The 19,774-nt window shown below is 38.0% G+C and overlaps 1 protein-coding gene across 4 annotated transcripts in view; it reads right to left on the bottom strand.

Annotated features, from left to right (window-relative positions):
* The window catches only part of MUC7 (mucin 7, secreted), a 52,506-nt gene continuing 48,473 nt past the window's right edge, over positions 15,742-19,774 (bottom strand). For all 4 annotated transcript variants that reach the window (NM_001145006.2, XM_047415723.1, NM_001145007.2 and 1 more), the window contains one exon: positions 15,742-17,940. In NM_001145006.2, the coding sequence (NP_001138478.1) occupies positions 16,861-17,940 (1,080 nt within the window). In that variant the 3' untranslated portion in view covers positions 15,742-16,860. The remainder of the gene's footprint in view (positions 17,941-19,774) is intronic.

Here is a 19,774-nt window from a genome sequence, read left to right as displayed (position 1 = left end):
TAACACAGTAATTTGATGTTCTTTAGGGTATCTTAACTACAGTCTAGAGAAATCTCCCGAATTATAAATTAAAAGCCACAAAGATATATACAAATATAGATTTGCATGTTGAGTAAATCAAGATCAAATCTTATGTTCAACAAAACAAGGCTAATGTATTGTCAATAAACAATGCTGGACTTCCAATCATCTTCTGTGAATATGTCAATAAAAAGGTTAGACAAACACCTGTTCTTTATTGATTCATTTATGATTCTCATTCTTTTCAGTCTGTTTATCTTGCAATTGACAATAGTCTGCTTTTGTGTTAGGAAAGGAAATCCGAGATTTATTTGCTTATGGTAGATTCTTGGGATAAGGTAGAGAAATTAAAGACAGAGTGTTCTTGATTTAAACTTTTACATATGTCATTTTCTTTTTGCTTCTACAAGTCTTAATTATAAAATAGATTCAAATATTACATGGGCAATTGAACTAAACTAAATATGAGTCTTTTTTTTTTTTTTTTTTGAGACAGAGTCTCGCTCTGTCACCTGGGCTGGAGTGCGGTGGTGCAATCTCTGCTCACTGCAACCTCCGCCTCCCAGGTTCAAGCGATTCTTCTGCCTCAGCCTCCCAAGAAGCTGGGACTACAGATGTGCGCCACCATGCCTGGCTAATTTTGTATTTTCAGTAGAGACAGGGTTTTACCATGTGGCCAGGCTGGTCTTGAACTCCTGACCTTAAGTGATCTTCACACCTCAGCCTCCCAAAGTGCTGGGACTACAGGTGTGAGCCACCGTGCCTGGCCAGACCTACTGCACCTGGCCTGACATCTTAAGTATGTATTTTAATGCTCTTTCATCCTGGGATACTGTGTTTCTATCAGATCTATTGATCCAAGATCACCCAAGGAGTCCATCATTAACAGGAGGCTTTGGCTTTTGCTCTTGCTTATTTGAGGTAGGCCTGTTGTGTTGGCACTGTGTTCAAACCACAGAAGGTACCAGGTAGTTGGGTTGAAGACATAGAGATAGGAAGAATGGAACAGCTGGAGGAGAGAGATCCTTGGCTTCAAGCAGCAAAATGTAATATTTGTGGGAATAATTAAAGATGAGACAGTAGGAAAATAGAAGGAGTAACTGCATATACCATCTTTTCCTACACTGGGGTCCAGGACATACTGTTTCAATGTTTTCTCATGGAGCATTTATAAATCATTCTACACTGGGAAGATTGAGAAGGCAGAATGGTCAGGTTAGGCATATATTTATTCAAAAACTGATTTTTTATTGCAAAGTTCAAACCCTAAATCCTTTTCTTGGAGGGAAGATTAACCACAAAGTTCATTTTATTCATTAATTCATTCATCCATTTATCCATCCATTCATCCATCTATCTATTCATTCATCCATCCATCCACCTATCCTTTTATCTAGCCACAAAAAAATTGTTGAGATTCTGCTCTGCTCCGGGCTCTTTATGTAGCCATTGAGGATAAACAGAGAACAAAACAATCACGTTCCCTATCCTGTTGGAGGTATAGGCAAATGGAGGAGACAGAAATCAGCAAATAAACATTCCAAATATCTATAATTACATTTTTATTACATTAAGAAGTTATATAATTGTGACAAGTGCTAGTGAGGAAATAACAGTTGCAATGAGAGTAACAATTCCTGTTTTGCTCTCTAAATAACATTCAAGTGGCCAATCTTTCCCATGGTTTCATGTATTTTACACAATTGAGGGAGTCAAGTGTTAATTAAATAAGCATACAAATAAATACCCCATGAAAAACTGTGATAAGAGGGAGTAATTGTAATGGGACAATTCAGATTGAGAGAGGTAGGGCAAGGATAGGAAAGACCACTTTGATGAAGTAACATGCATGTTGAGACCTGCAGGGCAAGTAAAGTTAGCAAGACAATGAAGGAGTTATGGGAAAAGGGTTTGAGGTAAACCCTGTCTAGAAAGATAGCCAAACTTGGCCGGGCGCGGTGGCTCACACCTGTAATCTCAGCACTTTGGGAGGCCGAGGTGGGTGGATCACGAGGTCAGGAGATCGAGACCATCCTGGCTAAGATGGTGAAACCCCGTCTCCACTAAAAATACAACAAATTAGCCGGGTGTAGTGGCACATGCCTGTGGTCCAGCTACTCAGGAGGCTGAGGCAGGAGAATCCCTTGAACCCGGGAGGTGGAGATTGCAGTGAGGCAAGATCACTCCACTGCCTGGGTGACAGAGTGAGGCTCTGTCTCAAAAAGAAAAAAAAAAAGCCAATCTTAAAGAGTCCATTGTGGCCAGAGGACAGTGGTTAACAGGAAAGTGGTTGAGATAAAGCTGGAGAAGAGCCAGCGGCACGTTAATGCAGAGCTTTTAAAACTGCGGCCTGAGTTTGGATTTTGTATTTCATCTTAGTTGCAAGGGTTGTTCCCAAAATAACTGTCGCCGAATACAAAATACAACAAAACTCTTTTCTTTGTCACATTCAGTCACTGAAAACTTCAAATCTTTTAAAAATTTTCATGTTTCTTTTTCCAATGTGCAAAACTTTGAATCTTAATTTAAAATATTATATTTCACCTCTTTCACTTAGGGCACATTTGAGTTTTTGGATTGGCTGCAATTAATGTTTCCTAGCATTTTTCATAAGTATTCTTAATTAAAAACTCTATTTTAAGTTGAATAATTTTAGGTAAAGTTCTTATTTTCAAATATCCGTATACTTATCCTGGTAGAAGCTTTTGTCAGATTGGCTTTTATTAGTATTGTGTATAAGCTTCCTCTTGATAGTAACTCGAAATTTAAAACATTAACAAGGAGAAGTTGTAGAAAAATATTGGTGATTATATATGTCCCTCGTACTGGATTTCTATGGATGATGTAAAAAGGTTTGATGAGTTCATTTCTAGACTGATAGTCTTCTCTTAAACAAAGGGTAGTTGTAGTGAGTAGAAATTGGCAGGAATCCTTTATATATATATATATACTTTTTTTTTTCTTAAGCAAATACAGACTCATATTCTTCTGGTGCACAACTTGTACTTTCAGAGTCAGTTTTGAAAACTATCTAAACTCTTTTGCATTACTGGGAGTGCATCCACAGGAAGACCTTTAGTTGATAGAAACTTATGGTTCTTGGTGTCTTTCAATGTGATTTTATACAGTGTCTAACATGCTTTTAGGAGGAACTAAAATATTAGGAGAATTTAATATATTGAACTTTTCCTGGAAATGACATCACGTTGATGATACTCACTTGAGTCTTGGAATAAAACCTTTTATCATTTTAGCTTATTTTGAAAAAAAAAACAAAACAAAACTCACAAACCTCATTAACCTTGATTCTCAGCCTCACAAGCTCAAGAGCAGGTGCTCACAAAATCGGTGGCAAAATTAATCGATCAGAGTTGAGCTAAATCTTCTCAGAATTTATTTCAGAAAAGACTTCTAAAGATCTGTGAAAGGAAACCTTGAATCCTCTTAGCTGATGATGACTCTGACATTTACAAGGTTAAATCTGATCTCTTTCTAACTTCTGGTACTGCCTACTAAGCATTCAGCTTCAAAGTCCTGAGGCTACCTCAAATTTAACATATCTAGAATCAAATTTATTGCCTCTGAGCAGTTGGTTTCCCAACCTGACTCCATTATTCTTTCCAGCACTTGCATTCGGAGCATGGAATCCTTTTGCTACCACCTATATCTAATTAGTCAACACGTTTTATTCTTTCCCTCATGTCTCTTGCATATATATATTTTTCTTACTAGTCTCCTGTAAAAGGAAGTCCAGGCTGCCCCCAGGACCTTACATTTGGGTTATTGTAATAGCTTCCACATTGTCTGAATTCTAAGTTTTCTCTCTCTCCTGTGCAAGATTTATCACCCTTATCCCTCCATTATAACCTCCTCCCAAACACTTTCATCATGTCACATGTCTCCTTATGAGATTTAAAAATTTCCCTGTTGCTTAGCAGGTAAGATATTGCTATGCAAGATGATCCCACATCTTCACCATCTCTCGCTTTATTATTGTTATGGGTTGAGTTGTAACCCTCTCAAAAAGGTATGTTAAAGCCCTAACCTTCAGTACCTCAAAATATGATCTTTTTTGGAAATAGGGTCTTTGCAGAGGAAATTAAGTTAAAATGAGATCACTAGGGTGAGCCTTAATCCAGTATGACTGACGTTCTTACAAAAAGGGAACATTCAGACACACAGATAGATACCCACACAGGAGAATACCATGTGCACATAAAGACAAGGATTAGCGTAATGAATGAACAACCCAAGGAGTGCCAAGGAAGGCCAGCAAACCTCCAGAAGCTAAGTGAGGAGCATAAAAGATTCTCCCTTACAGCTCCCAGAATGAATCAACCCTGCTGACACATTGATTTTCGACACAGTTCTAGCAACAGTTCAACAATATACATCTGTTGTTTAAGCCACCCAGTTTGTGGTACTTTGTTTTGATAGTCCGGACAAACTAATGCAATTATCTACCATGAACTCTCCTTTCAAACGAGGTTATTTTGCTCGTTTACCCTGATACATCAAGCACATTTTTCTTATTGCTTCTCCTGGACCTCCCTTTTCTCTGTCTAAAATTGTGTACACATTTCTTTTAGGTTCTAATTTAAGCAAATGTTTACAAAATCATCAAATATTCCTTGTCTTTTCTGAGCATTTATTATCACCAGTCATTGACCCTATTAAGTTGCTTTGAATTGTCAGTAATTTTTACTTTCTTGCATTCATTTGAAACTAGTATTCTGCATATCACCCAGTACAGGGTTTTGATTTTCAGAGTCATTCTTCAAATATATCTTGGTGTACTTAGTTTCTTTGATGGAAATGTAAGTGTATATAAGTACTTCAACTGTGGATTTAATTGAGTAAGTGGGTTGTTTGAAGAAGTTTTGAAGAATGAAATGGAGAGATTGGTAAATATGGTTAGAGGAGGTTTGGAGCTGGCTTAAGAGAATTAACAAAGGCCTGGGAAGGTCCCCCAGGGGATTCTGTGCAAGTGGTCCAGGAATCAAATATCACATTTGACTAAGAGTTGTTTGGGAAGGCATGGCTTATCTTATGTTTTGGATATCTGGAAAAATGAATGGCATTTAAGTAAGTAAGTACTGTTTTCTGAATGAATAGGTGGAAGAGAGTTTGCATAGCAGATCTCTCCTGGATGTGGGATGACCGTTACTCGTACTACACATTTACTGTACTAGGCAACACATTTACTGTACTAGACATAGAGAATAATAGAATATCCTTTTTGTTTTAGTGGGTTAGAAATCTATTCTTGGTTAGGGGTTAGAGAGAACTGATATTTAATATCAGCAAGACAATTTTACTGAAAAGGGATAGCAGATACAAATTGGAGCTATTTACCTGTCTAAGATCTTCAGCCATTACTTCATGGTAAATTCCAGGGATGGTATAATATCTTATGCAATGTGATACAGGGTTTTAATTCTCTGTTCAAATGTTTGTATATTTTATTTTTAAATTTATTAATATTTTTTATTGAGATGGGATCTCACTCTGTCACCCAGGCTGGAGTGAAGTGGTATGATCTTGGCTCACTGCAGCCTCTGCCTCCTGGGCTCAAGGGATCTTCCCACCTCAGCATCCTGAGTAGCTGGGACTACAGGTTACAGGTGTATGCTACTGTAACTTAAACTTAAATACAAAAAATTTTTTGTATTTTTGGTAGAGATAGGATTTTGCTGTGTTTCCCAGGCTAGTCCTGAATTCCTGAGCTCAAGTGATCTGCCCACCTCGGCCTTCCAAAGTGCTCAGATTACAGGCATAAGCCACCACATCTGGCCATGTTTGTATATTTCAGTACTTGTGAAAACTTAATATTAAATGAGCTTAAACAGGTGGACTGTTTTATGTTTATAATATTACATGACTAAATTCATTAACTTTGTTGAGAGGGTGGTGTGGGAGAATTAAGTGCAAAGACGCTTTATCCTAACATAAATTTGTTCTTCCCATTAAAAAATATGATTCCTAAGTATAACTTTTCTTATATTTTAAAGTTTTTTTCTTTGTGTTTGGATACATATCTCCAGCACCATAATAAAATTTAAAGACATAATATGATCAGTTACCCATATATTTATTTGAGATAAATTATTTTGAGAAAAGAGTAAAATAATTAAATGAAGCCAAACTGTTTTCTATCCTGGCACATTGACCTGTGTTCACAGAGAGATTTAACTAAAGATAAGTTGAAGGAACATCAAAATATTTTCTATTCCACTTTCCACAAAAGTGTGGATTTTAGAAAGGTTAGACAAACAATTTGCAATATTGATTGATGCTAGTATATTTTTGTGTTAGTGACAATTGAACTTTGAGAGGCTGTCAAAAAAAATTCTACAGGCTTTACACTAAACCTACTCTTGGCACTGGCATTTCCTTATTCTTTTTCTCACAACTTCAAACCTAGGAATCCTAAAGTTTGAATAGGGTGTCCTTTATCTTGGAAGTTGTTTCATTACTTGACTGTATTGTCTGTACTCTTGTAACAAAGATAGGCCTTTGACTGGGCACAGGGACTGCACAGAAGTCATGGTGCTAACTGCATTTCCTTGAAAATCTACAGGGTTGGGTGCACACACCCCAGGTGTGTGAAAGATGATCAATTAAGTGTAGGAAGAAAATGATAGGACTTATCCAGTATTTAGTTAAAAAAAGTCTTAGTACTATTTAATCTATGTACTGATAGGCCCAAATGTCGGACATTCACATGCCATTTTCTGTCTAGGAACATTGTTTTTTCTTAGTAGAGCTGTTGAGCTAGTGATAAATAGGGGGCAAATCATGATATTTTCCATTCTATTTTGTGTAGTAGGATGGGTACGGAAGATATAAGTCTGAGTGTCCCTATAAACTTTTTAAAATTAATCAGGGAAGAAGGGAGGGGGAGAAAGGAAAATGAACCGAGCTTGCAGCACTTTCAGCATTCGTCAGGAGTCAGTTCGCTCGCTGACCTGCTTCCTCATATTTCTTTCTTTCTTTTGTTTTTTTTGAGATGGAGCCTCACTCTGTCCCCCAGGCTGGAGTTCAGTGGTGCTATCTCGGCTCACTGCAACTCCCGCCTCCCAGGTTCAAGTGATTCTCCTGCCTCAGCCTCCTGAGGAGCTGAGATTATAGGCACACACCACCACGCCCAGCTAATTTTTGTGTATTTTTAGCAGAGATGGGGTTTCACCTTGTTGCCCAGGATGGTCTCGAACTCCTGATCTCATGATTTGCCTCCCTTAGCCTCCCAAAGTGCTAGGATTACAGGCGTGAGCCACCATGCCCGGCCACACTTCCTCATATTTCTTTGCTCCTATTGCTGCAGAATAGCTCTTTGCATCTCAGAGAGAAGCACCAGCAGGAGGAAGTGCTCCTCAGATTGTATTTCATAGCTGGGCTTTCGAGGGAAGCAACTCTCCAAAGTTTCTGAGCAAGGAGAGCCATTCGGTGTGTCTAACATTGAGGCAACGGGGCCAGAACTTGGTTCCACTATCCTGACTCCATTAATTAATAATTGAATGTAGGCTGTCCTAGGGAGGGCTTATATGTTGGTTCTCTTCTAGGGCAATTCCTGGAGAGGGAATTGGCTATCAGCTGTCAGCAACCAGCAATGCAGGCAGCTGTAGGCTTGAATGCCTTGGTCCTGAAGGAGAAATCTGGACTGTGTGAGACAGGGCTTCTGTGCTGCCCCAACTCACCCCTCAGGTTTTCTGGGCCAGAGGTCCAAAGGCCAAAGTCGGGGAGAGCAGATTGCAGAACCCCTATGGTTCCCTTTCTACGTTGTCTTCTTTGCATTGCCAAGCCTACCTGCCTTCTGCCAAAGCCAAAACCTTCCATGTCATACATCAGTTTAAACACTTCTCCCCATCCCTTCACTCCATATTTTCCCAGTTTTCTTCCTTCATAGTGCTTTTTTTTTCTCTGTAGTTAATTTGGGATTAATCGTGGGGAAGGGACTCAGAGCTGCTAACGCAGCATCTTCATCCAGTACATTTTTCCCACACGGTAGCCAAAGTCATCTTTGAAGGATGACAAGTGAATAGCTCAATAAATGGATACAATTCAATCTTGTTAAGTGTGCTGCCAAAATTTCTAACATTTGGGAAGTTCAGATAACACAAAAAAGGTTGAGAATTATCACTGTGTATTTGCAAAGGTGATCTGAATAAAATAAGAAGGATGAAGATAGTGCTTGATGAGACTTACCAAGAAGCTGGAAGTCATTACCCGAAGTCCAGGAATCAGGGAGAGTGTTTTCACCTTTTTCTGTTATGTCCTGAAAATGGTCAGATGGTTATTCCTCAGCCACACTGATGAATACATTGATTAAGTTCAAGTTAATTGAAAAAAATGCAGTTTATGTTTTTATATACAATCTTTAAGAGACATGGCCTTGTGAATAATAATGATGAGAAAATCTTCAGGAATTTTACATATCTCATATCTGGAGTCACTGTAAGAAGTAAATGATCTGGTAATGTGACAGCACTTTGAGAGATGTAAAGTGATCTCCAGCTGTATGGCCCTTATGTAAATATAATCATTGCAGATATCTCAGTTCCCAAATCCCCAGCATCTTCAATTATTTAAGAGATATTTGTTACATAACTTATCTATGCCAGGCTCTGCACTGGGCACAGTAGGGAATACAGAAATCTCTAAAGCAAGTTTCCTGTGGGAAGAAGGTCAATGTTTAAAATAAAAGTTACATGTAAGATTATTGCAATAAAAGCAGAAGGAAACGTGATAATCATAGAGGTGTAACAGAGGTATATTTGTCACTGCCTTGACTCAGAGCAGCCTGAAAAATGTTCCATTTGCTGAGAGTTAACTTTTTATACAACCCTGTCAGGTGACTAGGTCATCTCTGAATCTCTGGAGTTTGCAACTCTCCATTCTTTGTATTTCTGAAAAAAAAAAGTCGTTTTCTCTCTTTTCTTTACAAATGTTGAAATCTGGGTTCCTGTTTCAAGTCTGTTTCCTCAGGATAAAGCATCCACATTTTAAAAATAAAAAAACGAAAAGATAATATGATGCTATGAATTTTTATGCAAAAGAATCTGAGTAAAAGACGTCTCAAATTCAGAATTTCCAGTATCTACCTTTATAAGGAGTTGCTTTCTTTTACATTTATTTTTTATTATTATACTTTAAGTTCTGGGGTACATGTGCACAACGTGCAGGTTTGTTACACAGGTATACATGTGCCATGTTGGTTTGCTGCACCCATCAACTCGTCATCTACATTAGGTATTTGTCCTAATGCTATCCCTCCCCTTGCCCTCCACCCCCTGACAGACCCCAGTGTGTGATGTTCCCCTCCCTGTGTCCACGTGTTCTCATTATTCAACTCCCACTTATGAGTGAGAACATGCGGTGTTTGGTTTTGTCTTCTTATGTAGAGGTCAAAATGTTGGTGAAGTTCGATGGTGGCCAGTGGCTGTATTATGTTAAGGGACATACTATTTGTTATAGTCTTCAGTGTTTGTTGGCAATAGGAGAAAGTTTTGTTGGAAGGGAAGGTCGCTTGTAGAGTTATAATCTTTATCCACACAAAGAAACAGCAGTTACGATGTTTGGCAGCAGATCTTCTCGTATCTATTCATTGCTGAGGAACAGTGATTTTTTTTGAGTCATGATTTCCCAGTGAATTTTATGTGCTGGGATTAAGCTATGTAAATTCTTTTGGGTCATTGGATTCCCACTGCCATTAGCACTAAGAGGCCCAATTCTTTATTAAAACTTTGTACTCATAATATGTGATTTACCTGCCAGGCAGTTAGGGACTCATGCAAATATTTACTAAGTCTTTCAAAAGCGTACCTAATTAGTTCCATGTGCTGTGAAAAGGAAAGTTGTAAAAGACATTGGCTCAATATTCAACCTCATTTTCAAACCCATTTTTAGTTCCTAGGGACACAGCTAATCTGAATTTCCTACCATCCTTGTATCTAGGGCCTCGTGTCTAGTTGTGGCCAATGGAACATGATCAGAAAAAAATGTATGACACTTCTAAGCTTGGCCACTATAAATTGTACCCCACCTTCTCTTTCCTATCTTTGAGCAAAACATGAAGGAGTAAAGAAGTCAAGCATGAAGATATTTGGCTGAAGGGAGTTTCAGGCAAAGAGGACAGTCATGCATAGACCCAGAGGTCAGCGAGTGCATAGTTTGAAGAACAACAAGGAGATCAGAAAGGCTCAGAAGATTTTCTCTTCCTATCTTTGCTCGAACATCATCTTCTCAGCGAGGCGTATCTTCACACTCTATTTAGAATCGCAGCATGTTCTCCTTGCTGATGTACACTCATTACCTTTGACATATGACCCAAAAGACATCCACATTCTGATCTTCAGAACCCATGAATATGTCAAATTATGTGATACAAAGGTAATTAAGGTTACAGATTAAATTAGGGTTTTTTTAATAGTCTGACTTTAAAATTGAGCTATTATTTTGGATCACCTGGTGGGCATAATATAATCACAAGTATACACAATATAATCACGAGTATAATCTTTAATGTGGAAATAGCCGTAAAAAATAAAAAGTAGAAGAGAGAGGCAGAAGAGAGTCACAGGGAGATGTGACAATGGAAGAAAAGCACAGTATTGCTGGCTTTAAGATGGAGAAAACAGCCTCTAGAAGTTGGAAGAGGTGAGGAATAAATCTTCCCTGGAAGCTCCAGAAAGGACCTCAGCCCTGCCAAAACCTTGATTTTAGCCCAGTGAGACCTGTGTGGAAGGTCTAACCTACAAAACTATAAAGAATAAATTTGTGTTGTTTTCAGCCACTATGTTTGTGGTAATTTGTTGCAGCAGTAATAGAAAACTAATACAATATACTGCCCATGACTTACATCGTTATTGTGTTTATTGTTGTCAGCTTTTTCAACTAAAATTTATTTTTAATAAGTAGTGTATTTACGTGGTTCAAAATACAAAACTACCCACAAGGGTATAAACACAGAAGTCTAGTTTCTGCAATGCCCCCGTCTCATTTCTCTTTTAGGTAACTATGTAAATTAGGTATTTGTTTATCCATATTGTGATGCTTACTGTTAGGTATTAACTGGACTCGATTGAAGGATTCCTAGATGGTTGGTGAAGCATTGTGATACAGACTTTCCATTCCTTAGCTCAGCTAGGTCTGAGTTCTTGTCTCACAACCAGGAACAATTAGGTGCATGGACACTGGAGAGTGAGTGGAGTAGAATTTATTAAGCCAAAGGAAAGCTGTCACTTCTGCCAGAACTACCATTGTGGACCTACTGAATATCTTAGCCTCAGTCATGGTATTCCACACCATATTGATTCTGACCAAGGAACTTGCTTTACAGCCAAAGAGGTGCAGCAATAGGCTCATGCTTATGGAAGTCACTGGTCTTAACAATATTCCACATCATCTTGAAGTAGCTGGCTTGATAGATCAGTGAAATGGCTTTTTGAAGTTGCAGTTACAGTGCCAGGTAGGTGTCAGTACTTTGCACAGTTGGGCCAGAGTTCTCCAGAAGGCTGTAGTGCTCTGAATCAGCATCCAATATATGACACTCTTTCTCCCATAGTTAGGATTCACAGGTTCAGCAATCAAGGGGTGGAAATGGGAGTGGCACCACTCACCATCACCCCTAGTGATCCACTAGCAAAATTTTTGCTTCCTGTTCCCATGACATTATATTTTGCTGGCCTAGAGGTCTTAGTTTCAGAGGAAGGAATTCTTTACTGGGAGACACAACAATAATTCCAAAGAATTGGAAAGTAAGACTGCCACTGGCTGCTTTAAGCACCTAGTGCCTCCAAGTCAATAGATTAAAAAGGGAGTTAAGATATTGATTGGGGTGATTGATCTGGACTACTAAGGGGAAGTTGGATTGCTACTCCACAATGGAGGTCAGGAAGTTTATGTTTGGAATACAAGAGATCCTTAGGGTAGCCTCTTAGTATTATGTCCTGTGATTAAGGTCAATGAGAAATTAACCTTAATCCAACCTAATCCAACAACAAGCAAATCCAGACAGGACTACGAATGATCCAGACCCTTCAGGAAGGAAAGTTTGGGTCACCCCACAGGGAAAGATTTCATCCATAGTTGGTATTTATTACTACCTTCTTCTACTACCCATTCTTTATTCTCTTTGACTTACCAAGAAAACAAAGAAAATAAAGAATGGGTAGTAATAAATATCAGCTATGACCACATGATCAGCTACAGAAATGAGAACTGTAATTGTTGTAAGCATTTCCTCCCTATTTTGTTAAGAATATGTTTGTGCATCTCTATAATATATATATACACATATATGTATATATATATACACATATATTAAACAAATATTTTTATTTTCTTTCCTCTGTTATTCCTTTATCATGTAACCTAAGATTGATGGAACTTTGGATCAGTATTTAAGTATTATTAATATTACATCATAGTATGTAAGCTTTGGGATGTTAAGTTACCAGAAAAGGAGTAAACATCACTGAAGAACTTTACTTCCTCTTTTGAGGACAGGATAAGTGCATTTTTGGTAGTATGCAGGGTAGTTGTATCAGGTTAGGCAGAATTATGACCTTGTTGTTGGCTTTATTTAGAAATTGTTTGGTCTAAGGAGATGCATATGGATGCCAAGCTGACCAGCGGTGGACTTGTGACAGTTAATATTAGGTGTCAAATTGACTGGATGGAGGGATGCCTAGACGGCTGGCGAAGTATTGTTTCTGGGTGTATCTGTGAAGGTGTTTTCAGAGGAGATTAATGTATGAGTCAGTGGACTGAGAGAGAAAGACCCATCCTCAATGTGGGTGGTCAATATCCAAACAGTTGGGAGCCCAACTGGAACAAAGCAGGTGGAAGAAGGATACTCAGCTCGCCTTTGCTTCATCTCTTTCTTCTGCCCTAGGAAGTCTTCTTCTCCTCCTGCAGACTCTAGAGTCTTTGGTTCTTGGACTCTGGGACTTGCACCAGTGGCATCCTGAGTGCTTTCAGGCCTTCATTCTCAGACTGGGGGTTGCAATGATGGCTTTCCCTAGCTGAAGCCTTTGAACTTGGACTAAGCCACATTACTGCCTCCTCTGGTTCTCCAGCTTGCAGACAGCCTGTCCTGGGACTTCACCTTTGTGATTGTTGAGCCAATTTTTCTCTAATAAATTCCCTTTCATATACATATTCTATTGATTCTGGTCCTCTAGAGAACCCTAATATATATACAAATGTATATATGTATATTTATATAGCATTTATACTATATATAGTATTATATATAGTTTTTTAAAAAAAATAAGCAAATACACATACACTTGCTTATTTTGTCCACTCTCATATACAAAATGTAATATACTTTATATATTATTCTTCATCTTGGTTTTTTTTTTTTTTGAATACCTTTATTATATATCTTGATCTCTCCATGTGAGAACACAGGCTTTCCTGATTCATTTTCATAGCTTGTATCACATTTTGTCATGTAGAATTACCATGTTTTATTCAACCAGATCCCTATATCTGGACACATAGATTTTTCTTATTCTTTTGCCATTATTAAATGCCACAATGGATAAGTTTTTATATATATATATATGTATATATATATCTTTTTGTACTTGTGCAGGTATATCTGTAGGATAGATTTCTAGAAATGGTATTGCTGAGTAATAGAGTAAATATAGCTGGGATCTTAAAAGATATTATCAGATTTTGCTCTCTAGGTTCCATTTTTAATTTCCACAAGTGAAGTATAAGAGGGCCTGTTTCCCCCAGCCTCACCCACAAAAGGTGTCTTTTTTTTGAATTTATGCCCATATATTAGATGGGAAATAGTATCTCGGTGTAGTTTTATTGTTCATTTCTATTACTGTAAATTAAGTTTAGCAGCTCTTCATATACTTGGACTGTATTATTATTATCATTTTTTTCTGTGAGTAGTCTGCTCACATCATTGTCAATTTTTACACTGACCTGTTTTTCTTCTCCATTCGTAGGACCTTTTTGTGTTTTATTGAGAAATTAACCTTCTGTCTGTGATACAGACAAAAAAGTGCTTTTTTCCTAGTTTGTTATTTGCTCTTTATTTTTCTAACATTTTTATCCACATAAAAGATATAGAATTTTGTGCAAAGTAATCAATGTTTCTTTCTTTGGCTTTAGGCTGTAGGGTTATATTTAGAAAGGACTTCCTTATTTTAGGGATATAAAAGAATTCATCCACGTTTCTTCCTAGTACTTAAGTTTGGAAAATTTATAATTTTGCTCAATTTGGTGTGTATCTTTCTCCAAAAGACCCTCAATTTCTTTTCCAAGAAAATTTATTAAAATGCCCCATATTACCTCTGATTTAATTATTATATTAGGGTTCTTTAGAGGGACAGAACTAATAGGATAGATGTATATGTGAAGGGAAGGTTATTAAGGAGTATTGACTCACACGATCAAAAGGTGAAGTCCCACAATAGGCCATATGCAAGCTGAGGAGCAAGGAAGCCGCTTCAAGTCCCAAAACCTAAAAAATAGGGTAGCTGACAGTGTAGCCTTCAGTCTGTGGCTGAAGGCCTGAGAGCCCCTGACAAACCACTGGTGTAAGTCCAAGAGCTTAAAAGCTGAAGAACTTGGAGTCAGATGTTCGAGAGCAGGAAGCATCCAGCATGGGAGACAGATGAAGGCTGGAAAACTCAGCAAGCTGACACTCAATATTAACCACCACAAGTATGTACTGAAATTCTGTATACATCTGGGTCTATTTAAGAAGTTTTTATGGGTTCCATCCTATTGTTTTTTGGTAGTTGTTGTAACACATGGGAATATTTTAATTTTACTTTAATAGTCACATATTAATATCTTTATGTGATACCCTGTGTTTCCTCTTCCTTAAGGCAGTTTTATTGGTTTCCTACTACGAGAAATAAAATTAACCTGTAGCATCTTCTTCCTTTTACTGTCTCTTTCTCCACCTTCCAGTGTTAGTCCACAATGTCATATTTCTTAACATTTATTTTGTTTGCTTACATATACTTAAGTTTTTACTACTTGATTTGTCAGCTTTAAGTGGTATCTTGTCTCTCAGCTTTTATCAATAAGGCAGTCAGTGAATTTATTCTACTTTCTATTATTTTTCCCCATTCTCCTAGGAAACTAAGCAGTTTACTGGGGAGTAATGCATATGAAAATAGGGGGATGAGGGAGAAGTGGGCAGGGAAAGCTTTCACATTATGATGTAGATCAGATACTCATGAGAGGAAAGAGAGGAAGAAAGCAAGATTAGGAGGGAAAGCCTCAGTCCATGATGTAGATATGATAAAGCCTTGGCTCAAAGGGAAGATCTGAAGCAAAGATTGCCTGTTGCAGGAGTTCTATTTTGGGCAGAAATGGCCAGGTTCCAGTACTCCTGCAGTGATCAGTCATGGACTGGTCTATACAGAGCTACCAAAATGAGCCTAGATGGACAGAGTAAAGTGAGGGAGATGGGGTCTTTAATTGTCAGACCGAGAAGCATAGGGCAAACACATAATTTGGATTGGAAACATATATTAAGAAGTAAGATTAAGTTAATTTAAGTAAATTAATCATTTTGAAAAATAAAGAAAATGAATGTTTAGAGATAGAGTGCCCTACCCAAGTCACTTGACTCATTAGTGGCAGAGTTGACAAAAATGTAAATTTTCATTTGGGTCTCTTTTCACCAGTCTCAGAGTCTAAGAAAGGCAAGAAACTTCCAGATACACACAATGAATATAAATTGCCATTTGAAATCTTTATTAGTTAGCAAAAAAATCTAACATAATCATCAGAGTTTTAAGTAGTAGTGACAGAAGATAAAAATGCCTCCATATCCCAAATTAACATCTCCGTATACCAAGTAGCTAACTTTTATTGTTTTACAACTAAAGTCAGGGTTTTTATTTTCAGAGACAATTCTGCAAACTTGACATTAAAGCAGTAGTTTGGCATGGTTTAAAATACATTCAAATGTATACTAAATGTTTTAGAAAATATTCCATTGTTGAATACATTTCACATGGAATTTATGTGAATTAATTGAATTGATAGTGAAATATTATAAGCACCATGTGAACATACACAAACATATTCTTGTTGTTCACAGAGGCTAGAATCAGGTACATTAGATCGAAATTAACTTAGACACAACACAATAAATGTCAACCTTGCAGTTTAAACAATTATATACACTAAGAAAAATAGTGCCAGTCTTGGTTCGTGCTTGGCTGACAGACTTTATTGTCATTCACTTCTAATCCTCACTTCAAATCAACTTTCCTCTTTCTTGGCTCATATTTGTGAAATAAAATTTTATTTAAAATGGAAGATAATTATCTAAAGGGTTTTGTCATTAATCAATACAATGACAGGTCTATCAATATATTTAGATAGATAAATGTTTCTATCTACAGATATTTAGATGTCTTTGTTCATCTGGAGAGTTCCAATTTTACCCCTTTATGTTTATAGGATTAGATGGTTCAGGTGGGATTTTGATGGGGGTACAAGGTAGTGGTTTTGTAGTTTCTAACATTCAGGGAAAAGTAAATGGTTGATGGCCCATACAATATTCTCTCTTTATCTAAGGACTTTCTTTGCCCTCAGTAGGCTATCTCTGTAGGATCCAAAGAGTTATTTTGAACCCCAGACCTGCATCTGGCTTGTGGGATAGAGGCATTTTGTCTTGTTAATAGGTCTTGTGGTGGTGAATAATTAGATTGAAAGATTAATGATAGTGCTTTAAATCTGAGTAATATAATTTCATGTTGGGATTGGTGCTAAAAGAAAGGTGGTAGTTCTGCACTCATGAATCACATCTTGTAAATGACAGAACACTTTACAACATACAATATACTATTGCTCCACCATGTCGTCAATAATTCTGTTTAGTAGATTCTTCATATATAAAAGAAATCGAGAAATTTTATTTTGGCCAGGAGCTGAAGTTGGTTGTTTAGTAGTAGTAGTTTGAGTAGTGACCGAAGTAGTAGTCTGGTGTGTGGGTGCAGCTGAAGTTTCAGAAGTGTCAGGTGCAAGAGTAGTTGGGGAAGAATTAGGTGTGGTAATTGGGGCAGCTGTGGTCTCTTGTGGAGCTGGGGAAGACGGTGGAGCTGGTGTAGTTGCAGAAGGTGTGGGTGGGGCAGCTGTGGTCTCTGGTGGAGCTGAGGCGGATGATGGGTCTAGGGTAGTTGCAGAAGGTGTGGGTGGGACAGCTGTGGTCTCTGGTGGAGCTGAGGAAGATAGTGGAGCTGGTGTAGTTGCAGAAGGTGTGGGTGGGGCAGCTGTGGTCTCTGGTGGAGCTGAGGAAGATGGTGGAGCTGGTGTAGTTGCAGGAGGTGTGGGTGGGGCAGCTGTGGTCTCTGGTGGAGCTGAGGAAGATGGTGGAGCTTGTGTAGTTGCAGAAGGTGTGGGTGGGGCAGCTGTGGTCTCTGGTGGAGCTGAGGAAGATGGTGGAGCTGGTGTAGTTGCAGAAGGTGTGGGTGGGGCAGCTGTGGTGTCTTGTGGAGCTGGGGAATTCACTGGTGCTAATGTAGCTACAGAAGAGCTTGTGTTAACATTTTCTCTTGAAGATATGGTGGTGGCATTCTGGGGAAGAAAAGTCACATTTGGAAGGGTAGTAATTTTGGTGGAAGCTGATGGGAAAGTCACAGATGGAATTTGGGTTGTAGCCACTAAGGTAGGGTTGACCACACTGCTATTTTTATCTGGATGTTTAGGTGGCTGGTGAGGATTTGGGAATTTGGGGGGGTTATTAGGTGAAGGTGGAAGCTTAGGCCTACAGCGTTTGTGCAGACATTTATAGGACTTTCTAATGAACGGCTTCTGGTGAGCTAGCAGTCCAGGATAATGTGGTAATTCAAAGTGAGATTTGGGTGATTGGTGATGATGCCTTCTGTGACGTAGTTCATGATCCCTTTCTCGACCTTCACTGAACTGCAGAAAAGAAAGAAAATGTAAGAAATGAAAAAAGTATCCATTTATCAATCAGGTGATCACTGCTGACCATGAGATGAGCGGTATTTGTGGAATGCTGGGATTAGAAACCAGAGTACATTATTGAGTCAAGTGATTATCTTCCTAATTTCACCAAGTTTCAAGAAAGAATTGCTACTAGAGAGTTTTCTTTTGTCAAATGTCTACTCTCTAGATAGCTGGGATGAATATATTCCTGTGGGTTCTAGCTTGAATGCTTAGCTGGATACGAACTTTTGTGCTTACAGTTCCTCTCTTCTTCCTCTGGTGGAAAATGGTCAAGTTACTGCCTGAGGTCCCATCACAAAAGCTTCCTGCTTGCTCAGCCTGTTCACAAAACTTTAGTCAAAGACATTCAACTGAGATCCAGGAGCCCTTTCTAGATTACACCCCTCATATCTACCATCATCAAAATACGAAACAGCCAAACAACAACAAAGCCCCAACAAACAAAATATCCCACCCCGGCTTCATGTTCTCCATATTTCAGGAAACAGTTTTTAGCCTTTATAAATTGGAGAAACAACTTTGGTCATTACCTTTTAACTTTATTGTTTAAAAAATTAGAATTATAGAATTCATGATTCGGGGGTTCATGAGTCATCTGATTTTTAGAGAAAATTTGCATGTTTATGCATTTTGTCTGGATAGAGCACCAATGGTTTTCATGATTTCTGAAAGGTGTTTACATCTGAAAAGAACACTGATCCAGTCCAACTGTACATCTGATACTTGATCTTTTATCAATACACCTGCTGAAAGGCTTTCTAGTCTATGCATCTAACCTCTTCTGATTAGGAACTCACTACTGTAATTCCTAAGGCCGCCTGGTAGAGAGTTCTTGACACTGAATGTAGGTTTGTTTTTTGGGATTTTCATTCTTAACTGAGTAGAATTTTCTTCATGAAGATTTCCATCCTTTGGTCCTAATTTTGTTTTGGCAGATTTACAGAAGATCCAGAAGTCTTTCAAAATTTGAAAATAACTTCTATGCCATGTGGGTCATCATTTTGCAAGATATTTTTATTTCCTTTAGCCATTGCTGACATTATTTGAGTTAGAGTACCATCACTGTTTCAGTTTCTTATCTGTAAACATACTTCATGCCTTTTATATCCCTCTTCCCTGTATTCAATCTCATACTACATTTTTTAGTGATCAGTTATATTAAATTGGAGAAAAGAAATATAACAGGATAAATGAGAACATCCCAAACAAGGATAGGTTACGTTTTCTTCCTAATGATGTTCACAGAAGCCCTTTTTAGATGACCAAATGGGTAAATCATTCCAGTCGCAAGTTATAAAGCTTTCTTTGGACACAAAGTTTAGTGCAGATGAAGTGACAACTTCTGAGAGACTAGCTGAGTTGTTTAACTAAGATAACTTCCTCAGAGACTAATATATCCAACCTCAAAAATAGCTTCTAGGTACTGGGCTTTCAGAGGTGAATGAAACAGGGACCATCGTGAGGCTCATGTGATTGAGGGAATGAACCACATAACTATTTCAAAGCAAAGAGGTCATAGAATTAGATTTTGGATCTGGAATTTAATTTAATCCGAATCATTTCATAAATGAATAAACTGAGATCCAGGCATATTAAGTGACTTGCCCAAAGTCATTCAATTATTCAATGCCAGACATAGGACAGACTAAAACCTCCACTGCTGGTCTGTTGCAGTGTGTTTCAAATATGTTCCTCTAAGATCTGGACATTCTCCACAACATCCATCAATACAAGAAAGTATTATTTGTTTAGAAAATTAAATTGTCCAGGAAATTTTAATTCACAA

This window comes from Homo sapiens, chromosome 4, assembly GCF_000001405.40.
Source record: "Homo sapiens chromosome 4, GRCh38.p14 Primary Assembly".
Classification (NCBI taxonomy): domain Eukaryota; kingdom Metazoa; phylum Chordata; class Mammalia; order Primates; family Hominidae; genus Homo; species Homo sapiens.
The sequence above is the reverse complement of the archived record's forward strand: the minus strand, read 5'-3'. Positions and strand labels throughout refer to the sequence as shown.